General features: G+C 46.7%; 1 long non-coding RNA gene across 1 annotated transcript in view, besides 2 other annotated features; it reads left to right on the top strand.

The window, feature by feature from the left end:
- Window positions 1-5,447: 5,447 nt before the first annotated feature.
- LOC101928077 (uncharacterized) overlaps window positions 5,448-27,143 on the top strand; it is a 37,861-nt gene continuing 16,165 nt past the window's right edge. The window contains exons 1-3 of the long non-coding RNA XR_007060264.1: window positions 5,448-5,585; window positions 10,522-11,265; window positions 11,347-11,630. This is a non-coding gene — a long non-coding RNA (uncharacterized LOC101928077). The remainder of the gene's footprint in view (window positions 5,586-10,521; window positions 11,266-11,346; window positions 11,631-27,143) is intronic.
- Window positions 9,914-11,113: an enhancer, noted in NCBI's record as "CDK7 strongly-dependent group 2 enhancer chr7:26657384-26658583 (GRCh37/hg19 assembly coordinates)". NCBI's record gives its function as "activates an origin of replication core promoter dependent on BRD2, BRD4, P300/CBP, MED14 and CDK7 cofactors, with strong dependence on CDK7, by STARR-seq in HCT116 cells {active_cell/tissue: HCT116}" and the evidence as "EXISTENCE:reporter gene assay evidence [ECO:0000049][PMID:35650434]".
- Window positions 14,225-14,741: an enhancer, noted in NCBI's record as "H3K4me1 hESC enhancer chr7:26653756-26654272 (GRCh37/hg19 assembly coordinates)". NCBI's record gives its function as "activates a minimal SCP1, AML or CMV promoter by ChIP-STARR-seq in primed H9 embryonic stem cells {active_cell/tissue: H9 hESC(primed)}" and the evidence as "EXISTENCE:reporter gene assay evidence [ECO:0000049][PMID:30033119]".

Raw genomic sequence — 27,143 nt, 5'->3', positions numbered from 1 at the left:
CCCTCACTGGCTCTCAGAGTCTTGAATAGGGTAGACTGTCATGAGATTTTCAGTTTTCTTCTAAGAACACACTTCTAATTTTATAATGGAAGGCAGTGGGAAAAATAGAATTTGCCTCAAATGCATATGCCCTACAACCACACTGGATACAAAACACAGATTGACACAACCCAAAAGGGTAATCATATACAAGAGCCTTTAGCTCTCTTGCCAATTTGGCAACCAGACCTTGCCATGGTACGTTATAAGCACAAGATGCCACAACTGGATCATCTGATGCTGTTGGGGAAATAGGGACGGATGGGTGACCATTTCCCGTAGCCTTCTCCAAGCTTCCACATCCCAGCCCGCTGGACAACAAATTAGTTGAAATTCCAGCGGGAAGGAAGTTTATGTGGCTCTTTTCCCCATATAATAGATGCTCTGTCGAGTCGTGTGTGTCGTGCTGTGACAATTCATTCCTGCACTTGTGACAGGACCGCCGGCTGATTTCACTATGCTCAATTAGGAGAAAATGCATATTTTAATCTGCCCCGTGGTGAAGTACCACTTTGCTTGGTGGCCTTGGCAGACCAGCCATTTAACCATTTAGGAGGTAGAAGCTTCTACTCCAGCCCGTCATGTCCCTGCCAGCAGCCTCTCTAGTCTCATTTTGTTGCCAACACTTCCCGGGTTTCAAAGGACAAACAATTAAAGGCCACTCCATCACTCTCCCAGCCACCGTGCTGCAGCCCAGCCCCTTCGGCAGTGGCCGCCACCCTGGCTGCTGGCAGTGGCTTTAGTGCGGTGTCTGGAGGAGCAAGTGCCTCCCTCCCTCCCCGGCCTGGGGGTGGAGAGCCCAGCATGGAAGCCTGCATGCAGCCTTTCTGCTCCTCTCTCTCCGGCCTCAGGGCCTGCCTTCATTAGAAGCGGAGGGGTCGTGCCAGCTGCCAGCTCAGCTCTGGCATTGGAGACCGGGCCCATCCTGGGATGCCCATGAAGGCAGCTTCTTAAACTGGCCGTGCCCACACCATCTCCTTACTGCGGCCTCCACCGCTGTGGAGAGCGAGATTCTGCTTTTCGTTTGTGTGTTTTCTGATGCATGAGCTGATCCCTTGAGACACTTCTTCCTTTCCTTCTATTCCACCTTCCTTCTCCCTTGGGCCAGTGCAGACACTCCATGGTGCTTCCAACGCTCAGACAGACCTGGAATTTGGTCTTGGAGCTTCCACTAACCGACTTCAGTTATCTGACCTCTCTAAAGCCATAAATGTTCTCATTTTCTGAGGGGAAGAATAACAGTCCTCGCCTCATCGGTGTCTGAGGATGACACACGCAGACGCCTAAAGGGCGGATGACGACTGAGCCCTTTCCTGTGCTCCCAGAAGGCACTGGGACAGGCGCATGGTCTCATTTAATTCATGCAAACATCCCATAATGATCCCCATCTTACAAAGGTGGAAAGTGACCCTCAGAGGAGTCAACAACCCCACTGGGGGCAGGGGTGAGGGCTGCATAAAGGTTAGCTCCATTGTCTCCCAGATCTCAAGGAGGTCAGGACTGGAGATGAAGCCGGACCCCCAGGAGGGTGGAATCCCACAGCGACCAAGCCCAGAGCTCACGGGTGGGTAAAATGTCCACAGAGTCTTCTTAGAGCCAAGCACTTTGCTCTTCCCATTTAAAAACTAGAAGAATCCCCTGATTTGTAATTGTCCCTGATTTTTTTGTTAACCAGTTCTTCTCAGATGGTTTCCTCTAACTGCAGCTGACAGCCCAGGGTCAGGCTCAAGCCGACAGCCAAGCCCAGACCCAGATTCTCTGGGTTTCTGTTTATGGAGCTGCAGTCATTGAACCCTCACTGTGAACCTAAGGACCAAGACCAGACAGTGGGGTGGGGACCAGACAGTCGTCAATTCTGTGCTAGATTCTCCCACTTCTGATGCTTTTACAGAGCCTGTGACTTGTTGCTTCAAGGCCCCTCCACTAAATCACAGCTGCTTGGGGGCAGGGGAGGCACTGGCCACAGGACCCAGGGCTGTTTTTCCAAGAGGGGATCACAGGCACGCACCAGCCTTCCTTTCCTCCTCTGTCCCCTCCCTACTATACCTCTCCCTTGTTCCAGCAAAGCAGCATTAAAGGATCAAGCATCCCTAGAGGAGTCCTGGGGTCCCATTGATAAGGCTGAAAAGGAGAAACCAGCATCAGACCCACCCGCACCCGCCCTGTAATGGCAAAGCCTTCCCACAGGGCCTGGGCCAATGGGCTGAGCCCTGTAGGTCATCATTTTCTCCTGGCTCCACAAAGCTTCTCTCTAGAGATGAGTGTGTTCCATTCTTCCTGGCTGCAAGGTGAATTTTCATAGCTGCACGGCCTTTCCTGTAAGACCTGAAACTGTCTCCCACTTGTAACACTTTTCCCAGCTCTGGAGCTGTGGCATGTATGTCACACATGTCCACGTGCAGATGTATGAACTGGCATGGGGGCGAGAGGAGTTCTGCACCCGGCCTCTAGAAGGCCTCTCAGCACCACCCCAGAGCCTCACAACCCAAGGCATGTTCTCCTGCGGAAGTCCCAGGCTTCTTGAGGAAACATTGCTGTAGCCCCAGCTAGCATGACACCCCTCAAGAGCTACTTTGGATCGCCTCATTTCTTGTTCCCTTTGTCCATTGTGTGATTTCTTTTCTTTTAAAAGTTGGCCGGGCTCGGTGGCTCATGCCTGTAATTCCAGCACTTTGGGAGGCCAAGGTAGGTGGATCACTTGAGGTCAAGAGTTTGAAACCAGCCTGGCCAACATGGTGTAACCCCGTCGCTACAAAAAATACAAAAAAATTTAGCTGGGTGTGGTGGCACGTACCTGTAGTCCCAGCTACTCAGGAAGCTGAGGCAGGAGAATCGCTTGTACCCAGGAGGCAGAGGTTGCAGTGAGCTGAGATCGCACCACTGCACTTAAGCCTGTGTGATAGAGTGAGACTCTGTTTCAAAAAATATAAAATTAAATTTTTTAAAAAAGTTAATGTGAGGCATTGCTCTGCTAGAAAGGGGAGGAAGGGAGAAAAACGCAGACTGGCGTCATGGACGCTTGAGCCAAGCCATCCCGTGCAGCCTGCGCCCAGAATGCCCAGAGCTGGATTAATGTGCTGCTTTCGCCACTTAAAGTTCTGAAAACTTTGTAAACAAGGGGTCCCACAAATTGTAGCTGGTCCTGGAGAGAACAAACATTTGTTGAGTGCATTCTACTTTCTAGGCCAATGGCTAGCAAACTTTGCTGCATGTTGGAATCACCCGGGGACACCTTAAAAATCTTACTGTCCGGGCCACACTCCAGACAATGAAGTGGAATGTCTGGTGGTGGAAGACAGGCCTCAGGATTTTCCAAAGATCCCAGGTGTTAGGGTTCCCAGGCAGCACCAATGGGAGTCACTGCTGTAGGCGCCCTGTGATAAGAGGTGTTAGGACTCATACTGCCCAGATGAGGACACTGATGTCCAGGGAGGTAGAGCAGCGTGCCCAAACCCACTCCCTACCATGGGAGGTGTCAGGGTACCTGACTTGACACCCCAGTTCTTTCCACTTAACCCCACAACTTAAGCCAGCCTGCTCTGCAGTTAGTTAAATTTGGCCATTCTTAAATTCTGCTAGTTTCTAAGTAAAATGGCAAGGTATCCATGCCTTTCCACTCTACTTCTAAGCATTTCTTTGGATCTTGCCCATAAAAGGGGGACTTTTGCATGCACTCTGTCCACACACACGCAGAATTCTGTGTGGGACGTGCAGGCAGACATCCGGAAACTTCCCACTGCCAGCCAAGCCGCAACGACCTGGGCTGTTTCTGTGTTGTAGAGACATTTTCAAGTGCTTCCCCGGCCGAAGCCTGTCACCCTCTCAAGGGAGGGCACCTCCTTTCAGCGAAAGTCATCTGGCCTGTTGGAGAGCTCCCGGCATTTGCCTTTCATGGGGCACCACCTTCCACCTCCCTGCGTCTGTGCGTTCAGAACCCCTGAGTCTGTAGACACGGGAGGGTTGATGCTGCTCCCAAGCCAGCACCACCCACAGATGCTGTTTTCATTTTTGTCTTTTTCCCAAACAAAGACTTTTCTCCAAGCGTGCAGGGTTTCCTTTCCTCCATGTTCACCTCCTCTGTGCCCAGGTCCTATCTCAAGCCCTGGCTGGCTTGCTGCAGGGGCTGCGGGTGGGGTTGAATTTGGAAAGAGAAGGGGATATTTGCTTGCAAATCCTGGAAATATCAGCTGGAGGCTCCTGGTGTTTGGGGAGTTCTCAGCTGCTCCTGCCAGGATAAGCCACGGTCTCCTGGCCAGCAGAGAGCCAACTTTGGGGAGAACATGAATGTGGCCACTCTGCTTCCCCATTCTCTGCCTGCAAAGAGGTCCATGGCCTCTGGTAGATGGAGGCCCTCAAGCGCCTGTAGAGGTTATGTGCTTTTCGTTTGTTTGTTTGTTTGTTTGTTTGTTTGTTGAGATAGAGTCTCACTCTGTCACCCAGGCTGGAGTGCAGTGGCGGGATCTCGGCTCATCGCAACCTCCACCTCCTGGGTTCAAGCGATTCTCCTGCCTCAGCCTCCCAAGTAGCTGGGACCACAGGTGCCTATCACCACGCCCAGCTAACTTTTTGTATTTTTAGTAGAGATGGGGTTTCACCGTGTTAACCGGGATTATCTCGATCTCCTGACCTCGTGATCCATCCACCTTGGCCTCCCAAAGTGCTAGGATTACAGGCGTGAGTCACCATGCCTGGCCAGTTTAGGTGTTTTTTTAAAAATCAGTTTTAAAGGCCACATGACAACTTTCTTCCCACAAGGCTATAAGCGGCCATGTTTCCCCAAAGGGCTGCTTAGTTGTTAAAAATCACATTTGCTATTTCTCAGATAGAATTGTCCTCAACTAAATATTTCTGACTGTCCAAGTGACAGTGCAAGGACTCAACCGACCTCTCCTGGTCCAGGCTGAGGCCAGAGCATGGAAGGCCTCCTTGCACCCTGGCGGGCCAGTGCACGCATCTTTTACTCTTTGTGTTAAGAAAAACAGACGCTTCTTTAGGAGTTGTATGCGTGTGCCTCTCTCTGGGTTGGTATGTGCTCTCGCTTTTCACCTGACTGAGGGAGATTGACAGTGTGATGGGTGGAGCTCCTGTCTAGAATGTTCTAGGTTTCTGGCCAGGTGCAGTGGCTCACACCTGGGGGAGGCTGAAGCGGGAGGATCACTTAGAGGTCAGGAGTTTGAAACCTGCCTGGGCAACACGGCAAGACCTTATCTTTACAAAAAATTTTAAAAATTACCCAAGTGTGGTGACCCATGCCTGTAGTCTCAGCTACTTGGGAGACTGAGGCAGGAGGATTGCTGGAGCCCTGGAGGTCTAGGCTACAGTGAGCCGTGATCATGCCACTGTACTCCAGCCTGGGCGACAGAGGGAGACCCTGTCTCAAAAAAAAAAAAAAACAGATTTCTAAAACCTTTGTCACCTTGTCTTTGTTACGATGCAGGTTACACACCTTTGTGTCCCATCACAATTTAACCAAACTATGCCCTGTGGAAGATTCTACAAGGCCACATCTAATGGAAGCAATGAGCACAGCGGTATTAAACTCAAAGGTGTCTGACACATTTGTTAACAAATGTCCTCCACTGAGTCCATGGGGAGAGGTGTGTGGATGGAGGTCTCGGGTGTTATTATTCCCACAGGTAGCTTTAATAGTCAGAATCGGCCATCAGATGTTTTTCCCAGACAGGCTGGTATCTTATTAGAAATGCAGTAAGTAGAATTTAATGCAATTGAAAAGAAATCCAACAGACTCCAATCTAAAGAATGTCATTTTAGGAAAATAGCAGCGACTTACAGTTTACTGCCCCTAAATTGGAAAATCAGTTTTAGAACATTGTAAACTTTTAATTGCATGCAGCCTGAAAACAGGTTTAAAACAGAAAGAAGGGGAAGGAGAGCTCACAGTCACTGAACACCTTCGATTCTGTGCCAGGCTCAGTCTTATGATTTCATTTCACCCTCGCCACAGCCAGATGAGATTGGAGTTCCTTCCTCTGAGTTATAAATGAGGACACCAAGGCTCAGCAAGGAAAGCATCTTGCTCAAGGTCACTGGGGAGAAAGTTGCAAGGTTTGGACTTCAAGTCAGGTCCATCTGGCTACAAAACCTGTAATCTTTGTTTTGTTTTGTTTTTCAAGACAGGGTCTCACTCTGTCTTCCAGGCTGGAGAGCAGTGGTGCGACCTTGGCTCACTGCAACCTCCGCCTTCTGGTTTCAGGCAATTCTCCTGCCTCAGCCTCCTGAGTAGCTGGGATTACAGGCGCACACCACCACACCCAGCTAATTTTTGTAATAGAGACAGGGTTTCACCACGTTGGCCAGGCTGGTCTCGAACTCCTGACCTCAGGTGATCCACCCGCCTTGACCTCCCTAAGTGCTGGGATTACAGGCGTGAGTCACTATGCCTGGCCAAAACCTGTAATCTTTGAATCCACCATGAAATGTCTGCCTGGAAACATTTCCTTTCTTCCACAAATGGACCCCCATGACTGCCACTCAGGTGGTTCCAGAAAACGGTGGCTGCTTCTGCCTCCCTGCGCTTCAGATCCACTCATGGCATGTGAAACATGCTCACTGCCGTGGGAGTGGGACAAAGGAAGCCTTGGGAAGGTGCAGGTCACTTCTTTCCAAATTGCATCCTAAGAGATGTCATTTTCATCAGCTCTTCCAGAGCATATTTAGAAAGCCAGTTTTATTTATTTATTCTTTTTTCTTTTTAATTTTAGGTTCAGGGGTCAATGTGCAGGTTTGTTATATAAGTATATTGTGTGATGCTGAGGTTTGGGCTTCTAATGATTCTGTCTCACAAGTAGTGCACAGAGGACCTGATAGGTAGTTTTTCAACCCTTCCCTCTGCCTGCTCCCTTTGTGGAATCCCCAGTGTTTATTGCTCCCATCTTTGTGCCTGTGTGCACCCAATATTTAGCTTCTGCTTACAAATAAGAACATGTGATATTTAGTTTTCTGTTTCTGCATTAATTCACTTAGCATAATGGCCTCCAGCTGTATCCATGTTGTTGCAAAGGTCATGATTTCTTTCCTCTTTACAGCTGCGTAGTATTCCATGGTAGCATATGTACTACATTTTCTTTATCCAGTTCACCGTTGATGGGCACCTGGGTTTACTCCATGTCTTTGCTATTGTGAATAGTGCTGCGATAAACATAGGAGTACAGGTGTCTTTTTGATAGAACAATTTGTTTTCCTTTGAGTATATACCTAGTAATGGGATTGCTGGGATGAATGGTAGTTCTATTTTTAGTTCTTTGAGAAATCTCCAAACTGCTGGAAAACAAGTTTTAATACACAAGCACCCTCTTTCCCCACCTACAGAACCTTGACCTCCTTTCTAGATTGATCTCTGCTAATCACCCTCCCACTCCCCCAACCCTGGCTTGCACTAGACTTGTTTGCTATTCCCTGGTAAATCTCATGAGCATTGGCTGAAGCAGTTTCTCTTTTCTGAAATACCCTGACCCTCCGTACCTAGCTAGGCTTTTCTCCAGGCAGCATTTATGAGGCCGGTGTTGTCTGAGTGTCCTTTGTGGCCAGGCAGGACAGAGCAAGGGCAAGATGCTGATATATGCTGAACAAGACACCATTCTAGCCGCACAGATATTCCAGCAAATTGGAAGACCAGCGTCGTCCATTCTTGCACCTTGCACCTTTTTGGTACCTTTGTCCCTTGTGTCTGGCTTTGGAGTTAGGATGGGTCTGTCTGTCCTCCACGTAGGGAGTTAGAGCGAGTTTCATGTTGCACCCCACAGAGCCCTGCACGGGGATTTGAGAATGGTAGGCCTCCAGGGAATGTTTTGTATCCAACTACATGATTTAGGGGGCACAAAAATTTCTCCCTGGCCCTGTGAGAGTCAGAGCTGAGAAGCATCGAGAAAGTGTAGCTCTGGGCGTGGATAACTAATCAGACTGCATAAATGACAAAAGCCCTCTCATCCCACAGCAGGTTATTGGGAGTCGTACCTTGACTTCAGTTCATTTTGCTCACATAGACCAAAAAGTAAAGCCCAAGAAAGGACAATTTGCAAAACGGTGGTGCCAAGGTCATTTGTTTGCAACATGATGCTCGGTAGGAAGTGAGAGGACGAGCAGCACCAGCAAACACAGGACCTTCCCTCCCCTCTGCAGGTGTGCCCAGCAGCACGGGAACATGTCTCTGGGAACGGCCGTAACCCTGGGTCTGGAAGGCTTTGAGGGAGGTGTCCATTCAGCCCGGGCTCTGAGAAAAAGGGTGTCATTGGCGCCACCTGGCACCCAGCCACTGAACTTCATAGCGCCTATGCCCCCAAGTGAGTCATGTTAAATCACCGCCCACAGCTTCCCGGACACAAGCGGAAGGGACTGGGCCAGAGGGAGAGAGGGAGCCGCCATGTTTCTTTCTTTTCATCCTCTTTTACCTTCTGATTATTGTTTCTAATGGCTCCTTGATGAAATAAACCGTTCATCACACACATCCTCTTCTTAGGCTTTCCTCCTTCCAAGTGAGGAACATGGACAGGGCTTTCCCAGGAAGCTTTCTAGGACCCCGCTGCCTGCTGTTCTTGGGAGAACACACTGGTTCTGTGCATGGCACTCTGTGGTATGGGCACAGATAGCATTCCTTGCCAGGCTGCTGTGGTACTTTTCATCCAGAAATGACACTGAAAGGAGAATGAGTGAGGAAACAGACCCCCATCTTTTGAGGATCTGTGGACCCAGCCAGCTCTAGAAGATCAATTGCTCAGCCAATGCACAGCTAAAAACACCCTGCCACATGGGGCAGGGACTGAAGAGGGAGGGGTGAGTTCATTAAGGGAGGGGTGAGTTCATTAAGGGAGGGGTTGAGTTCATTAAGGGAGGGGTTGAGTTCATTAAGGGAGGGATGAGTTCATTAAGGGAGGGATGAGTTCATTAAGGGAGGGATGAGTTCATTAAGGGAGGGGATGAGTTCATTAAGGGAGGGGTGAGTTCATTAAGGGAGGGGATGCCAAAGGAGATGGAATCCCAGAGGGCCTGGAAATGACCTTTTCACTTCAGTTTACTCTGATCTGGGCTTCTTGTGATTTCTGTAAACACTGCTTGGAAAAAACTCAGTTGCAACACAAAGTTCTCCTTTCCACACCTAATACTATTGGTGGCTCTGACTCTGAAGTGTTTATGGCGGGTTAAGTATTGTACATATGCCATCTCATCAGTCCTCACAGCAGCACAGTTGGGGAAACTTCATCCTTGTGTTCCAGAGGGGACTTGCCCTAGGCCACATAGCTAGAAAGTAGGAAACTTGGGACCCGAACCTGGGCCTCCCTGCCTCCAAAACCTAGCAGGACATTCTTGCGCTAGACACACAAATCAGTTATGCCTTTCGGGCTCTGGCCTTTATGATAAAATTCTAAACCTAGTCTCAGGTGAAGCAAACATTTGGTCTGCTGTGTTTCCTGCCTAACCTAAAAAGGTGCCTGCCATGAAAGCTAGATTTACCAGAGCCCTTGCTATGGCAGTCTTGCTGTACTGGCAGATTCACACCTTGTTGAGATTACTGTCTATGGTGAAAGTTGATTCAAGGTCTTGGGATTGCTTTTTGCACACTACCCAGGTATACTAGCAGGGAGTGTTGTCAGGACACGTGGCCTGTTCTTCATATGACCTAGTAACACAGAAGGAGGGAGCCCCTTAACCAATCCCCCTGAGCGAGCCCGCCTCCTGCAGGGACACTGATGTGTGTCTCATAAATTCAGCCATTGTGTCTGCGAGCGCCTTGGCTGTAGCTGGTTTTATGAGATATCACGGTGCTGTGTCATGCACCTGTGTAGCTGAGAGCAGAATGTTCGCTGCGGAGATGGAAAAAAAAAAAACAGGCACTGGAAGGGATATAAGCACAGTCCCCTTTTGTTAGCAATGAAAGTGGAGCACATGGCCTGGAGTAACTTTCTGAAAGATCATTGAAAGAAACTCACGAGTTTCTACTTTATACCCGTATCCTTTAATCTTTTAGCTAAAATTTCATGTACCCAACGAAGTAACCGGATTTATTTTGCTTCCCACCAGCCAAGATGTTAACCGGACCCTTCAGCTTTCCCTCTGCTCTCTGCCTTTAACCTGGGCCAATTAGGTTGGGAACTACACTGCAGCATGGCCTCGAAACAACACGCTTGCTCAGAATTGTCCTTCGAATGCTGCTGTTCTCCCACGGGAATCGGAAATCCCAGGGCCTGCATGCTTAACCCTTTCCACACCATGGACACGCCTCAGGTTCTAAAGAGCAAAGCATGTCACTCAGGCAGACCATGACCTTGGCTCCTAATCCGGAAGGCCAGTTTCAGGGATGCCCACGTGGAGAAGAGAAAATGACCAGAGAACAAGTGTGCTCACAGCCCTTGTGGGAATAATCGTGCCCACCTGGGGGGCTTTTCTGAAGACACTCAGAGCCGACTAAGATAGGGGAGCGGTCTTGTTTTCTTTGGTGGCTCATCTCTGCCTCTGTTTCTCCATCAGATCACAGTGAAAGCTGTAGCCCACAGTGTTGCTCACGATTTCAGAGGAGAATTGAAAATGAGGAGGAATGGAATATTCGCAAGTGTCTACTTGTCAACAAAGCGTGCCAGGTGTGTTCTCTCATCTCCGGGGATCAGCAGCTTCCTGTAATCTCCCTTTATGCCTTTCATTCACTCTAATCACAAGGATTTTACAAGAGGCCCTCCTTGACCCCAGGCATGAGCTCGGCCCTTTATTTGTAAGTGAACTCAGCAGTGTTCACTTAACACTTTTAAGGATCTGCGCCCAGGGAAGGGGAAGCGTGGTCAGACAGCAGGCTCTCTGAACTCACCTTTCTGGACAAAGATCTCCCTAGGCATTGTACACGCCTCCTTCTTTTCTTTCCCCTTGAGCTGTCCGGGTTTCACAGCAAGTTATAAAGCGAAGAGCCTCACCTGCCTTTGAGACCACCTCCCCTTGGCCCAGCTCAGTAGCTGGTCCTCAGGTAAGTGCATGTTAAGTTCCCAGACTGTTCCAGAGAGGGTGACCGACTGTCCTGGTTTGCCAGGACTCTCCTGCCTGGGAGACCTCCCAGTGTGGGGCAGACTGGGACCATCAGTCACCCTAGCAGGGGACAGTAGGGATCCCCTGGCTGTTTCTTTAGCAACCTGAGCGGCTCACTTGGGAGGCTGCATGGCCGAGCAGGCGAAGCACTTACAGTGGAAGCGAGGCCTGTGATGCTGTCAACTTGCTTCTTAACCCTAGGTCAGTCAATTACTTTCTCTGTGTTTCAATTCTTTTTGCCACCTGTACGGTGGGAATAATACCTATTTGTTCAATTCCTAGGATGCTGTGAGAATTAAATTACATAGTAGCTGCAAAATAATTTGGCTTTCTTGGAGTTGGACACCACCTGAACCTGAGTGAAATGATTGTGCACTTCTTAATGGCCTCCATCTCTGGCCAAGCTGCCTTGGGACCAGAACAATCATCTAAGTCCCAGTTTCCAGCCTAAAACAGCATGAGGACAAGGCCAGGAGGCCACAGCAAGGCTGTAATCAGAACCCACAAGGATTGCATGGAGATGCTGCAGTGCCGCCACCACCCAACGGCCGGAGCCCCCAGCAAAGGTACCACGGGGCTCCAGCGGGTGTTGGTGGGGAGAGGGAACAAAGGTCCGAGTCACAGAAATCTTTACTACAATGATAGTCATGACAGGTGGATGACAGTGCTGTCCCTGACTCTCTACTCTGTTCATCTGTTTGGTACCCTATATCTGGAATGTTTGGAACACATGAACACACCTGAGCGAGACTGAGGCCTCTGTCTGTCGCTTCCTACACACACGCACACACACACATACGCACACTCACACATGCATGTCTCTAAGGAGGAGCACTAATAAGCCCCACCCATGCTCCTGCCTTCCTGGACCCCCCAGGACATGGCTTTGCGGCTGTTCCTCCCCGTGCACAGCGGTGACGGCCTTTCAATCCTAAGTCCGGTTTGCTCCTGCCTCGGGGCTTCCACACTACTTCTTTTCTGCCTGGAACGTTCTTCCTCCAGATCTTTCTGTGGCTGGCTCCTTCTTGTTGTTCAGGTCTCAGCTAAAATCTCACCTCAGTGGAGAAGCTGTTCCCAACCACTCGCTCCATCTGGAGGAGCTGCATCTTATGTTACTTTCTTTCACATTGGAGTTTATTCAGCAAACCACTTATTACTCCATGCCACTTTCTTTTGCTTATTTTCTGACTTCTTCCTGTGGTGAGACAGCCCGGTGTCTCCTGCTAGCCATCCTCTCCTTCTTCCCTGGTCGCAGAGCCCTGGATTTTGGCCAGGCATGTGTTCACCCAGAACAAGACAGCATGTCCCAGCCTCCCTGACCTGAGGTGTGGCCACATGACTCAGCTCTGGCTTATCGGATATAAGTGGAAGCATGCTTGGAAGGAGGAGGCACGCTCATTCTATCCCCTTCGCTCCTCCCTGTCAGCTGGAACATGAATGTGATTGCTGGAACTGAAGCAGCCATGTTGGACTCTGAGGTGAAAGCCTCATGCGCAGGAGAGCAGGGCACAGACAGTAAGGATCCTGAAAGCCCTGGCTCACGTCTTTCTGGACTTCTTTTATGGTAGAAAGAGATGAGAGTCTAACTTGTTTAAGCTGTTGTTATGTTGGGTCTTTTATCATTTGCAACTAAACCAACTCTTACTAATGCCTGTCCCTCCCTCTGCCCGTCCTTGGCCGTGCCTCCCACCTCACAGAGCATGAGCTCTGTAAAGTCAGGGTCCCACCTGCCTTGTTGACTGCTGTAGCCCCAGCACTAGAGCAACACCTGCAATAATAGTCATTGGGTAAATGCTTATTCAATAGATAACTTGCTCATCTCTCTTCATATTTAATTTCTTCCCTCTACTGTCTCCTTTCCCTCTCAGCATCGTGTTATTTTAGTTCTCTTTTGACCTCCCTCAAATCCTCTCTTGCCTATGTGTCCCTGAAAAGTAGACATTTCCCACATTTGTGTCCTTGGCTGAGGTGGAAAGAACTAGGCATTTCCATGATGATGTCTACATTCCTAAAAACCCTTCCAAGAGAAGCTGCCCTTACCACAGCCCACTTCCAGCCTCGTTTAGTTCCATATGCTCCTGTCCCACCCTGATTGGAAGGGGGTATCACATGACCCAGCGATGGCCGTGACAGCCAATCAGTAGGCTTGTCAGGAGCCTATGTCATTGCCTGGTCTAGAAGAATGAACTGCACCAAAGAGATTCCCTCTATCAGGAATATTTCGTTATTTTGATTTTAAGTTTATTTTATATGAAAAATACTCATAAACATCTAAAAGAAAAATCACTCCCCCAGTTATACCAGTTTTTAAAAACATACATGGACATGAAATTCTTACCCCTTCCCCTTTCCAGGCCTAAGAAATCTTGTCCCCTTGACATAGCCTTAGAAGTTACTATGTTATTTTCCTGATTTTATTCTTTTATTAAAGAGGCATCTAAATATACACACATGTTTACACACATACCCCCACAAACACACACTTATCTTCTATATATTGGTCTGCAGTGTAGAATCTCTCTAGGCTCAGAACTGCAGCTCTACCAGGGACTGCTTCTAGGCTTTGAGTGAATGTCTGCTGACATACTCCATAACCTCCCCATTGATGCAATACTCAGTACGTCGCGGCAAACATTCTTAGATATGCAGATTTACAAACTTGAAGACAGTTACTGAAAAGCAGGATTGCTAAGTCAAAGTGTGCATTTAAAAAATTTTAAATAAATGTTACCAAATTAATATCCAAAATGGTTATAGCGGGTTTAAATTTCCACTCCCAAATATAAAGATTTCTATTCTCTTACACTCTCTTTAGCACTAGCCATTGCCATACTTTTAAATTTTGGGCAGTGAGCTAAAAAAAGAATAGAATCACATGACATTTTAATTTGTACATTCTCATTTGCTGGCAAAGTTGCCTCCGAGACTCAAGTGCTGAGCTGGTGTTGAAAGATATGGAGAGAGAGGCCGTGAGATGTGATGCGCATTTTGAGGGAGAGGCCAATTGAGAGGGAGAAGGGTCGTGGCGCAGTGAAGTCACCGGGAGGGAGAAGCTATGGGAAGAGAAGAGGTGGGAGGAGAGGGAAGAATGTCAGTGGTAGGGCCAGGGGACCTGAGCAGCGTGGGTGGAGGCTGAGGCATGCTGTTGGTGGAGCTCGGGATGAGGCTGTGCCACATCGGCTGGTGGCTCTGGTGAGGCCTGGGAGGCCAAGTAACCTTCCAGCTCATCCTCGTCCTTGTGTCACCTCCCGGCTTCCTGTTTCACATTGCTCTTGGCAGGGAGGACATCTTCAACAGAGTCCAGCAGGCACTTCAATCCTAATGTGTCCAAAGGAACCTGGCTTTCCATCTATCCCCAAATGGAATCCTCTAGATTTTCCTGTTTCTCTGAATGACTCCCACCGTGCTCCTGGTCACAGGGACCTGGAACTGTGGAGCCATTTTCCTCTCTCCTTTTAAATCTGCTCTTATTGAATATTTGTATTTTATTTTAAATTATGACTCAAATAGACATAGAATCACCATGATGACCATTTCTAATGCACAGCTGGGCAGTGTTAAGGACGCCTTGCTGCTGTGCAGCCCATCTCCAGCACGCCTTTCTTGTGGCACGACTGAATGCTGTGCCCACTGTGCAACTTCCCCTTCCCTCTCTGGAAAGACACCTTCAACCCCCCAGCCACTCTGTCCAGTCACCAAGGATGAGGGTCAAATACATCTGTACCTGCCGGACCTGGTACTGGACCTGCCATGTGCTTGAACCCATGCTGTTTATTCCTACTTCTCAAACAACCGCCTGGTCGTTCCTCTGAGGAGACTGAAGCCCATGGCAACCTCTGGGAGAGGCAGGCCCTGGGAGTCTAAGGGCGCCTGTGTCCTGACCTTGGATCCTTGCTTTCTCGGGTCCACCTCGTCCCCTGTTGTGACCCTCCAGGCCCACCCCCTGCTGCCTGCCTGCACAGTGGGGGACCTGGGGTGCTGTTCTCCTACTGCGCTCCCCCTCGTGCTCCCTGTAGCTGCTGCCATCAGCCTTGCTGTCCCTGCTCTGGCCACATAAGCGCTCCTTCTTCCCATGTTTCTCCGTTTCTCCACACAGGCCTTGCATTGCACACTCCCGGTGGAGTTCGAGCCCTCGGCCTGGCCTTTGAATCCTCCCAGCCATAGCTCTAACGGCCTTGCCAGCTGCCCCCTTCTCTGCTGTTGCCTCCAGCTCTGCCTTCATTTCTTGCCTCTGTACCTTTGCTTTTCCTGCTTCTTTTGTCCCAAATGTTCTTCTCCACTCCATTCCCCAAAAGCTGTGTCTGTTTTTCTTTGCCATTGCCTCTCCAGGAGGCACAGGCCTAAGATGCAGTAGCTGCTCAATACATTTTTATGGAACGAGTGAGTGAATGAACGGTGCGATCCTTCCTCTCCTGCAAGGCTCCGTCTGAGCTCTCTCCTTCTTGGGGAAACCTTGCATAGCCCCTGCAGCTTGGATGTCCTCATTTGTGCTTCATTTGTTCCTACCTTTTCACGTGCCATGTTCTGAATTGAATTAATTTTAGCTACTTGTCTGAGCTTCTCAGTTGGATTGTGAGTTCCTTGGGGTAGAAACAATGTTTTTAGTTTTCAATAAGTATATCCCTCTCCTTGCATACACACACACAGACACAAGCACACACAGGCACACACACACACACACACACACATGATGCTGCACACGAGCCTGTGTGCACAGCAGTGGACACTCCGTATGTGTCAGTTGGCGTGGCCTGAGCTAGCCGACAGTAGTCTTCCAACCCTCTGCTCTTTCTGCAGGCACTGGGGCTCCTTCCCTCCTCTCTACCTTGTCCCAGCTTTGGCTCCCATTTCTGCATCATGCGGCCGGGGTAGCATTGCCAACTGGCATCCACGGGCAGGAGGATGATTCACGCTGACTGTCGTGCTATCAGCCTTCCCCATACTGCACAACACATACAGGATGAAAATGGGTCCCTGCAGGAACCCTACATTTATATGTCAGAGAAAGAGAGTCAGCCAAGAATACGCTAAGATGTCCAATGCGAACCTGGCTTCCACTGGAGTAATGATGGCAAGTATTTAGGGTGCTTTCCTGAGACACCAGGCACTGGGTTAGGCACCTGCATTCCCCCGTTTAAACGCCACTCCCCCACTGGCCCTGGGTGAGGGCCAGTGTGGTCTCCAGTTTACAGCTGAGGAGTGAGGCAGAGCAGGGCAGGGAGTGCACCCAGATTGCACAGCTGCTGAGCAGCAGCACCGAATTCAAACCCAGGACTGTGCGCTTGGGCTCTACCCTCTGTTCCAAAGCATCCTGGCTGGTGGCAGAGAAAGCTGTCGTGGGAAGCATATCGTCCTGACCATGGGTTTTACAATGAGAAAGCTGAGACCCCAGGGGAGATGGGGAGTCACTTGAGAAGCCTCACCTGTCCCTGTAGAGCAGGCACCAAACCCAGGTGTGTTAGGCCATTTTTGCATTGCTATAAAGAAATACCAGAGACTGGGTAATTTCTAAGAAAAGAGGTTTAATTGGCTCATGGTTCTTCAGGCTGTACAGGAGGCATGGTGGCATCTGCTTCTAGGGGGGCCTCAGGGACCTTTTAGTCATGGCGGAAGGCGAAGTGGGAGCAGGCAGTTCACATAGCAGAGCAGGAGCGGGGTAGGGGGAAGGTGCCACACTCTTAAACAACCATATCTCACGAGAACTCACTCACTATCATGAAGACAGCACCAAGCCATGAGAGATCCGCCCCCATGACCAAACACCTCCCACCAGGCCCCACATACACACTGGGGATTACTCAACCTGAGATTTGGGTGGGGACAAATATCCAAATGACATCACCAGCATTCTCAATTCCCAACTCCATGCCCTTTCCAGTCTTGTACAGCAAAGAGCAGAATGTCCCTCCCTTTCTTCTTTAATGAGCTACTTATTGAGGGTGTCTAATGGCAAACTCGATTTGGGAGAAGTGTTGGGGTTTTTTTTCCTTTAAGGCAAGGAGTAAATGCATGGAGCTGAGAACAGTTCAGGGCAACAGTTTAGGATGAAGAGAGTAGAGTTGGGGGAAAGGGACTGGACTGATTGTGTAGAGGGAGCAGGAGCCACAGGGGCGCCCTTTGGGGTGGCCAAGCTTGTCAGAGGAAGAGAGATGTCCCACTGAGGGCTTCTGATGGGGAGACAGGCATTTCCTCAGAATTTGGGGTAAGATGGTAATTGATGGGGACCCTGATTATTATGTCAAAGCAGAGGCCAACAGGGGTGATTGGGGGTAGAGCTGGGGGCCGCTGTGACTTAAGGTTTGTAATTTCTCAGCAGGCAGCCTGTGTGGTGGGAGAAATGGTGCCTGTGATGCTGAAACTGGGATTTCAATCCCACCCTCGTATCTGTTGGCTTTGGGCAAATCACATCACTTTCCTAAAGTTCTGTAACTCTCTGTGGAGTTGGTTTTGGGAGCAAAAGAGATTGTAGAAGTAACATCACTTTGCAATGTACAAGGTGCTTTCCAAGGCCTGTGTTCTTATCAGGAAAAATAGTAACATTGCTCAGATGTGGACAGGGTGGATGGGGACTGATTCCTTCATTGAAAACATGCATATTGATTGAAGCATACAGTGTGCCAAGCCTGTGTTAGATGTTATGGGAACATACAAAATAATCCCACAGTTTGCCGAGGTGTGGCTGTGGGATTCACACAGGACAACACCCAGGAGGCCACAATGAGGAGGAGAAGAGGGGTCAGGTAAGGGGAGAGGAGTGAGCCCAGGAGTGCTTGACCAAGGCAGCCTCCAGCAAAGATAACATCACACCGGGCTGCACTTGACAGCAAGGAGACCAGGTAACGCCAGGAGGGCAGCGAGCATTCCTGGTGATGGAACGGGGGGCAACAGAGGACCTAGGAGAGTTCTTCTGAGAGTAGAACCCCCAGTTCTTGAGAGCTCACTGACCATGGGATGTAAGGGAGACTCAAAGAAGAGGCTGTGTCCAAGTGAATGAGGTCATGGTGGTCTGGATATTAGAGGCGGTGGCATCAGAGGAAGGTCACATTTAAGAGCATCTGTGCCAATACCTTCTGTTCTCAGGGAAGAGGGGCCATGTGGCCATGTCCTCCAGCTGCCATGTGCCTAGCACATCCCAGATGTGCCTGGTTGGCCCCCTCCCTCCAGCTGGCTCCTACATGTGGCTGCTCGCAACTCTTTCCCCTGGCAATTACATCCCCACCCCACCCAAACACCTTGGCCCCCACAGTCCTACTTATCCCCATCTCCATGCCTTCCTGACACCTCGAAGGACCTTGCTCCCAAGCAGACTTTTACTGAGTGCTGGTATCAGCGATTAGTTGGGTATTTCCAGATGCATTTTCCCATGGAGTCTTCACCACAACCCTGAGAGATGGGCATTACAATCCTATTTTGCACAAGGGAAAAATGACCCAGTTTACCAGTACGGGGAACAGTCTATTCAGTCATTCATTCAACAGATATTTAATAAATACCTACAACTTGCCAGGCTGTATGAGAAACTCGACACAGTGACGGAGCTGGGTTTTGAACTCCAAACCCAGTGCTTTGCCTGTCATATCTGGCCCCAGTCTCAGGTATTCCTTTCTCTCACACACAACTCTACAACTGAGTCACTGTCCAGCACAAACCCTGTTGAGCACACTTAGTTCAATCAGCCCATGGCCACTTCCCCATCAGATTGCCAGATGTTTGAGGACAGGAACTGTTTTTGTCTTCGCATCTCCAAATTCGTCTGACAGCAAGTCCCTCAATAAAGGAGCATTGAGGGAAATTGAGCTGGCTTGCTGGATATACAGATCCTTCCTTGGGAAGCCAGGCACCGAAACCATGCCCTGGTTCTTTAGCGGCACTTAAAGCGGAACATTGCATTTGAAACCCCTCCTTTCTATGAGGCACTTAGAGTACTTTCTAGATCATGGGTAATTAATCCATGACACACCCTGGGAGGAGTGGGAACAGGAGCAAGAAATGCTGCTCTCATTTTGCTGATAGAGAAATTCAGCACAGAGCCTGTCCTGGTGTCGTACAGGAAGCCAGCAGAAGACCAAGGAGGTGGATTCTCCTCCTCCCTCTGTGTCCCATCCATCCTGTCCTCCGGATCCTGCTGTGCCTCCAGGGCGGAAAGAGCCGCTCTGACCGACAGGGACTGCTGTGCACAGCCCTGATGCCTGGATGCAGAGCTCTGACCCAGATTTCCCAAGGCCCGAAACAGTTATTTTATCTAATATACAAATGGAAAATTTGGGTTATAAGATTAAAAATTGATAACTGCAATCATAGCTTTTAAGTTAACCTAAGATGAAAATTTTTTATTCATTCTTTCAGGGCAGGAATTTACATTTGTTCCCTAGGACAGTGACAGGCACATAGTAGCTGCTTAATAAATATTTATTAAATAAATGAGTTTATTTGTTCTCTTATTTGACTTTGGTGAGATTCAAAGGCTGGACAGGTTGGAGTCCTGTTTTAATGACTAAGTAAGCCTCATTTTAAAAGGCCAGCTGTATGTTTGCACATCAGTGATGATGACGATGATCAATCATGACTGATTGCTTGTAAAGCGAAAGCTCCTGCTTTTCCTCATATAAGTCATGTGTGCTGAGTCTTGTTTCCTGATGTTTTTTTTACCTGTATCTCTTAAAGGACCCTCTTTTTTTTGATCAGCCCATTACTCTCTCAGAAGGCCACCTAGAATTAAGGGTGTAATTTTGGCCATGGAATACTGTGGAATGAACTAATTCATGAGGGGTTCAACTGTGCTCTGCTAGCACAAGGTTCAGTTTGGCCAATGGGCACTGACCATTTTTCTAAAGAACTCACAAGTCTTATTTGAAACTTTCACTAAATTACATTTTGAATACTAATTTGCATTATCTATAATTTTCTAAACCAAGGCAAGCTTTGGCCTAGCCCCTATTTCAGCTGTGCCCAAGGAAATAGAATATCAATTCAATTTCATTGTATTTGCCCTTCTTCCTCCACTTCATCCCCCAACAAAATCCATTTTGTGTAACATCAAAAAAGAGCTTTGATAAAGGTATCTAAAGAGTAGTCATGAGTGCCACTCACGGGTCCCTCCCTTCCCCTTCTCCTACGCACATGGTAGGATTTTGCTTCCCCATCCCCTCAAGTCAGACATGCCATGAGGTTGCTTTGGCCAATGGCATGTGAGCATGTGGCATGGATCCATGTGGCATGGATGACGAGGGCCACCTCCCTGTGGAAGTCTTTGAGAGCAGGTGCATGATTCACACCTTCCGTTTCTCTGCTCTGGTGACTGGCGACATTCCAAACGGTGGGGCTCCATCATGCTGGAATAAAATGGAGTGGAATCCTCCCCTCCCATGAGAATACCATATAGGGTGAGGGGGAAGCAAATCTTTACTATTTTTCACTCCTGAAATTTTTATTTATTGTTGCAGCACAAGCTGACCCATCCTGACTGATAGAAGATTTAAAATCAGCAGCTCTGGTTTAGAAAACGTGCATCCTTCCTCCCTGTCTCTCTTTGACTGTGCCCACACTCACATCTCTTTCTCTCTCTCTCTTTCTCTGTCTCTAGATATAAAGAGAGAGAAATTGTACTTTTTCTTTGAGTACTGCTATGATTTGAATAAATCCAATAGTCTTTTGATTCATAAAAGAATGATAGCCCCAAAGGACTAGAGGCTTTTCATACCAGGTATGCACCTTCCTCAAGGTAAGGTCCTTCACCTGTGACTGAGTTGTTTGTGGGACCGGGTGTGACTGAGGCAGTGGCCCACGAGATAAGTTCATCAGCCTTTCCAGTGATTCCAGAGACAGCATGAGTTGCCCAAGTGGCAGAACCGGCAGCTACAGTCCTCTTTTAATATGTAGTCATATCTCTGTTCATATTTCTAAAATGACTGTCCCCTCATGCGTGTCAGAACCATCGAATCAATTAAGTATTGTAGTTCCAGTGATCAGGAGGCCCGAACTCTAGCCACTGCTTTATGTCTCATCTTTCTTTGTAAACTTAATTTTTTCATCCATAGATTAGGCATCACAGTATTGATTGTCTACTATTTAAAACTATCGTGTGTGCATTGTTCAGACCCAATGGAAGACCAATAAATCACTTCTTATGGGAAACTTGCCACTGACCAATATCTATAGAACAAGGCAAAATGAATTGCTTTGAATAATTGGAATCATCTGATCAAACAAGTCTTCACCAAGTCAATTTTCTTAAAAAAAAAATACTGTTTATTTTTAAGAGCAGTTTTAGGTTTACAGAAAAATTGACAATAAAGCATAGAATACCTTGATACTCCATCTCCCCTTGCACACAGTTTATCCTATTATTAATATCTTGCACTCGTGTGGTATTTTGTTATAAGTGATAAACCAATATTGATACCTCATTGTTAAGTCCGTAGTTTGTGTTAAGGTTCACTCTTGGTTTTGCACATTCTCTGAGCTCTGACAAATGCATAATGTCATGTATCCACCATTACAGTGTTACACAGAATAGTTTTGCTGTCTTCAGTATCTACCTCGTGTGCTTCACATGCTCACTCCTTCCCTGCCCCTCCAACCCCTGGCAACCACTGATCTTTGTTGGCTCATAGTTTTGCCTTTTCCAGAATGTCATATAATTAAATTATATAGTGGGCAGCCTTTTTGAACTGGCTTCTTTCATTTAGCCATATACATTTAAGGTCCCTCCATATCTTTTCATGGCTTGATAGCTCATTTCTTTTAATAGCTGATAATATTCCATTATCTAGGTGTACCAGTTTATTTATTCATTTACCTACTAAGGGACATCTTGGTTGCTTCTAATTTCTGGCAATTATGAATAAAGCTCTATAAATGCCATGTTTAGTTTTTTAAAAAAATTTCCAACTTTTAAGTTTGGGGGTACATAAGCAGGATGTGCAGGTTTGTTACACAGGTAAACGTGTGCCATGGTGGTTTGCTTCACAGATCATCCCATCACCTAGGTATCAAGCCTGCATCCATTAGCTCTTCTCCCTGATGCTCTCCCTCCTCCCACCCCCACCCTCCAACAGGCCCAGTGTGTTGTTCCCCGCTCCATGTGTCCCTGTGTTCTCTCATCATTCAGCTCCCACTTACAAGTGAGAACGTACAGTATTTGGCCTTCTGTTCCCCATGTGCAGGTTTTTGTGTAGACATAAGTTTTCAACTCACATGAGTAAATGCCAAGGGGTGCCATTGCTGGATCATATAGTTAAGACTATATTTCGCTTTGTAAAAAACTGCCAAACTCTCCTAAGTGGCTGTACCATTTTTCATTCCCCTCAGCAGTGAATAAGAGTACTCACTGTTCCACATCCTTGCCAGCATTTGGTGTTGCCAGTGTTTGGTTTCCAGTAGATGTGTAATGTATCTCATTGTTGTTGTAATTTGCAGTTTTCTAATGACATGTGATAGTGAGCATCTCTTCATATGCTTACTTGACACCCGTGTATCTTCTTTGGTGAGGTATCTGTTCAGATCTTTTTCCCACTTTTTAATTGAAGTGTTTGTTTTCTTATTGTTGAGCTTTAAGTATTCTTTGTATATATTTTGGATATAAGCCTTTTATTAGACGTGTATTTTGTAAAGATTTTCTCCCAGTCTGTGGCTTGTCTTTTCATTCTCTTTACAGTGTCTTTCAAAAAGCAGAACTTTTAAATTTTTGATGAAGTCCAGCTCATCAAGTTTTTCTTTCATGGATCATGCTTTTAGTATCGTATCTAAAACTCACTGCTAAACCTAAGGTCACCTAGATTTTTTCTTCTATGTTATCTTCTAGAAATTTTATAGTTTTGCATTTTACATTTAGGTCTGTGATCCATTTAGGTTTATGAGTTAATTTTTTGCAAAGAGTGTAAGGTTTGTGCCTAGATTCATTTTTTCTGCATGTCCATGTCCAGTTGTTCCTGCACAATTTGTTGTAAAGACTGTCTTGGCTCCATCGTATTGCCTTTGGTCCTTTGTTAAAAGGAGCAATTGACTATATTTGTGTGGGTTTATTTCTGGGCTTGCTATTCTGTTCTTTTCATTTACTTGTCTGTTCTTTCATCAATACCACACTGTCTTGATTATTGTAGCTTTTTAGTAAGTCCTGAAATCAGGGAGTGTCTGTCCTCTGTGTATTAGTAAATACACTAGAAAGTAAAAGTTCTAGAAAATAACAGGAGAAAAAAATCTGGGTGACCTTAGGTTTGGCAGTGAGTTTTTAGATACGATACTAAAAACATGAAAGGAAAACTTGATGAGCTGGACTTCATCAAAAATTTAAAGTTCTGCCCTTTGAAAGACACTATAAAGAGAATGAAAAGACAAGCCACAGGCTGGGAGAAAACCTTTACAAAATACACATCTGACAAAGGGCTTATATCCAAAATATATACAAAGAATACTTAAAGCTCAACAATAAGAAAACAAACAATTCAAGTTGTCTATGTTTAGCTTTGTTTAGCTTATTCAATTATGAATAAACCTGCACATGGATGTTTATAGCAGCTTTATTCATAACTGCCAGAATTATGAATTTTAATACTGTATTGGCTATTCTGAGTCTTTTGCTCCTCCATTTAAAGTTTAGAATCATCTTGTCAATATTCACAAGTAATTTGCTGAAATTTTGATTGGAATCGAGTTTAATCTAAAGATTCAGCTGGGAAGAACGTAAATCTTAAGAATACTGAGTCATCCTACCCATGAACATAAAATACCTCTCCATTTATTTAGACCTTCTTCGGTATCTTTCATCAGTTTTCTAGTTCCTCGCATGTAGATCTTGCACATACTTGGTTAGAGTTATATCTAAGTATTTCAAAATTTTGGGGGACTAATGTAAATGAAATCAATTTTTTAAAAAATAAGTTGAACTGAGTTGTTGTTTTTAAACAGTTTGGCTCTTTCTTCTACTAATTTTGCAAATTAAGCCAAAAGGTTTGCAGAAGTGGAAATACACTCAGGTTTTCAACTCTTCTTATTTGTACCAAATGCGTCTGTTCCTGTAGAGTAATTATCAACTAGACTCTACTTTTGGTTATTTGCATACTCATGAGGTTAGAGATCTCTGAAATTGAAGATGATGTTAGAATTTACATTTATTATAGAAAATAAAATGCATTGTTCTGGTCAGAATATTTCACTGGGTACTGGGTCTGGTACCTTCCACTGATGGAGTTCATAAGAAGAATGAGGAAATGCTTATTTCTTCTTGAGCAACCCCTCCCTTTCTAGCCAAGTAAAAGCCCTGGATCTTAGAAGGGAAAACTAGTCTGTGTGGCTCAAATTTCTAAATTTCATTTGAAATTAGGACAGTGACCAGCCACACATCTCAGCCTCAATTTCTCTCCCTGGTGACTAGAACATCACCATTCTCATACCTCAGTGCTAAAATGCCAAGGAGATGGGACGCTGAGGTACTGACATCCCCAAATCCACATGCTGTGGACCAGGCTTGTGTAACATCAATCAGAAAAACACTTCCTAGATTCCAGGAGGCAAATGTTTATGCTTTGATCCATATGGGTAGTTTTAAAAATAAGCTATTTGAAGCACTCCCTTCCAGAGTGTTCCATTTAAAATGACAGCAGATTTAAGAAATGAGTCCCCAGGAATGGCCCTGTCAGGACTGTGATATCAGCTGTGCTTTTCCTCCTGGAAGGTACTCAGCTCATAGGTAACAAGGCTACCTGGAGAGGCTCTCTCGTTTCCATCAATATCATGAATATCTCTCCTTCAAAAGGCCAGATTCCTGCTCCTTGCTCTTCATTCCATGAGGGCCTGCCTACTTTGCTTCTGTGCTCTCTGAGGAGCTAGCCTTGGAAAACCACTGATGCTGTGTGTCATGTGTACCCACAGGCTCATTTGCTCAAGCTCTTAGTCTTCCTGGCCATTTAACACACAAGCAATGAAGTCTAGTGACCCACTTCTGGGTGTCAGGTTTCAACTTGGACTCATCCTCAGGCCTCTCACCAGGTGTTCTCCCTTGGAATTCCCTCTGCCCATGACTAATGCAGCCACAAGGTCAAAACTCCTCATCTCAAGGGGCTGGCCTGGAAACCATTGCCTATCCACACTTCACACTTCATAGGATAGGACTAATGAATGTCAGCTCAGAAGGCTGACAATGGCAAAGCATTTGGAGTTCTTCAGAGGGAAAAGGATATTTAGGGGCTAACTTGCATTATAGTCAATAGAATAAGAACGCCGTTTTTTCAACTGCAGGACCTGGTGACAATTTCTCCAGTAAAACTCTCTATTAGAACATGTGAATTTCAATTTGCAGGTGGAACCCACCCACGCTGTTTGCAACAGTATATGGGACCTTCCCATGTAAGTTCTGTGATTTGAGATTATTAGTTTCTGGCACTGTCTTGAATTTTGAGCACTTCCTGTCAAATGTACTTGGGAGTTATTTTCCCTTAAAGAATGTGACACTAAAACAAGTTCTTAATAAAGTGTTTTGAAAAGGCAAGAGGGTGAGAAAAAGCTGGGCAAAAACTCAAGCTAGTAATGAACTGAGTAAGTCTCTAATTATATTGAATTTACAAATAATAGGATAAGGCAGGCTTAGCAATTATTTTGTGTGCCTAAAGGAAGAGCAAGCTCCCCTTAAACTTAGGGAAAATGGATAAACATTTTGTATCATCACATTTGATTTTAAATATCTCTCCCTCTAGACTTTGAAAGGTCTAACTGGTCCAAAAACACAGGTTCTTCAATAAGCATTTTGTAGAAACTGATGGTTTTTTTCTCAAAACTAAGTTTGGTTTTGGTTTTTTTCCTGTACGAAGCCTTGAGTATGGACATCTTGACATGTAGTCCTAATGGCCATTAATTTTCAAGGTGAGACCCCAAAGTAAAATGTAGAAAGTGCTCAGTGGAATTTCTACACACCAAGCTGGAAATGCAAGAGTTAACCAGGGTTGAGTCCTCCAGTAAAACAATTTAATCAGATGTATAAATAATTCATTTGATGACCATAGAACTGCCTCAGCATCATTTGTCTCCAATAAGCCAAATCCACAAATAAATAGGGTGTTGGCTGGCATTGAGGCTCTTGTCTCTCACAATGTGAGCCTGAATGGAGCCCCATCTTGACCAGAGGAGCCACCCATCATTTGGGCGGATTGCTAACGGACAACAGACTAGGGTAGAAAAGCCCTACACTGTAATGTGGTCTGCACTCCCCAGATCATGCCACTCAGCCCCACACTCATGGTGAATGCAGGTCTGGTGTCTGCAGGTGAAGGCTGAGGCTCTTGGTGACAGGATCATGGTGGGCAGGGCCCCTGAGGCTCTGCTTTGAGGGACTTTGGGGCCTCTGTTTGATAAATGCACACTTTGTGCCCCCCCCCATCCTATGCCTGGCACTGTGCTGAGAGCTTTCCGTTGCATCCCCACAACACCAAGCCAGATAAGAATTATTACTACTATCCCTGCTGTGTAGAGACGGAAACCCAGAAACCAGGATTTAGAAAGTCATAGCATCTTGTGGTGAATATATGGCAGAGCCGGACTTAAACTTAGTCTGATTTCTTAACCACTGGCTTATATAGGGCTATTCTTATGGAGTCTTCTTCTAAGATACCCAAGTCTTATAGAGATATTCTGAAAGGTTTATGGGAGCAGAGATCAACCAGCTTCATGGGGAAACTGAAGTGCAGAGAATTCAGGGACTTCCTAGGAGTCACACACATGCCAAGTCAAGGGCAGGTTGGAAATGATTTCCAGGAACCTGCCTTCCAGTTAGAACTGCTGCTTCACACACATTGGGGTGTGTGTGACCTTCACTCAAGTGGCCTGGCTAGAGTCAGGGGCCACAGCAGAGGCTTCCTTCTTCCCTCCTGGGTTTGGGCCTCAGTTTCCTCCTCTATCAAATGAAGAGAGTTAGGTTTTCAAGTCTTTTGTGTATAATTTAATGATGAAATCCTACAGCCACCACAGACAAGAAGAATACTTCATGATGCAATCAACCATCCTTCTCCCTTCTGGAAGGAAAAGCATCAGGGCTAGGGCCCTGGGGGAAACTTAAAGAGTGATGATGCTGGCCCATCTCCTGCCTGCCT

The sequence above is a fragment of the Homo sapiens genome, chromosome 7 (assembly GCF_000001405.40).
Source record: "Homo sapiens chromosome 7, GRCh38.p14 Primary Assembly".
Taxonomy (NCBI): Eukaryota; Metazoa; Chordata; class Mammalia; order Primates; family Hominidae; genus Homo; species Homo sapiens.
The sequence above is the reverse complement of the archived record's forward strand: the minus strand, read 5'-3'. Positions and strand labels throughout refer to the sequence as shown.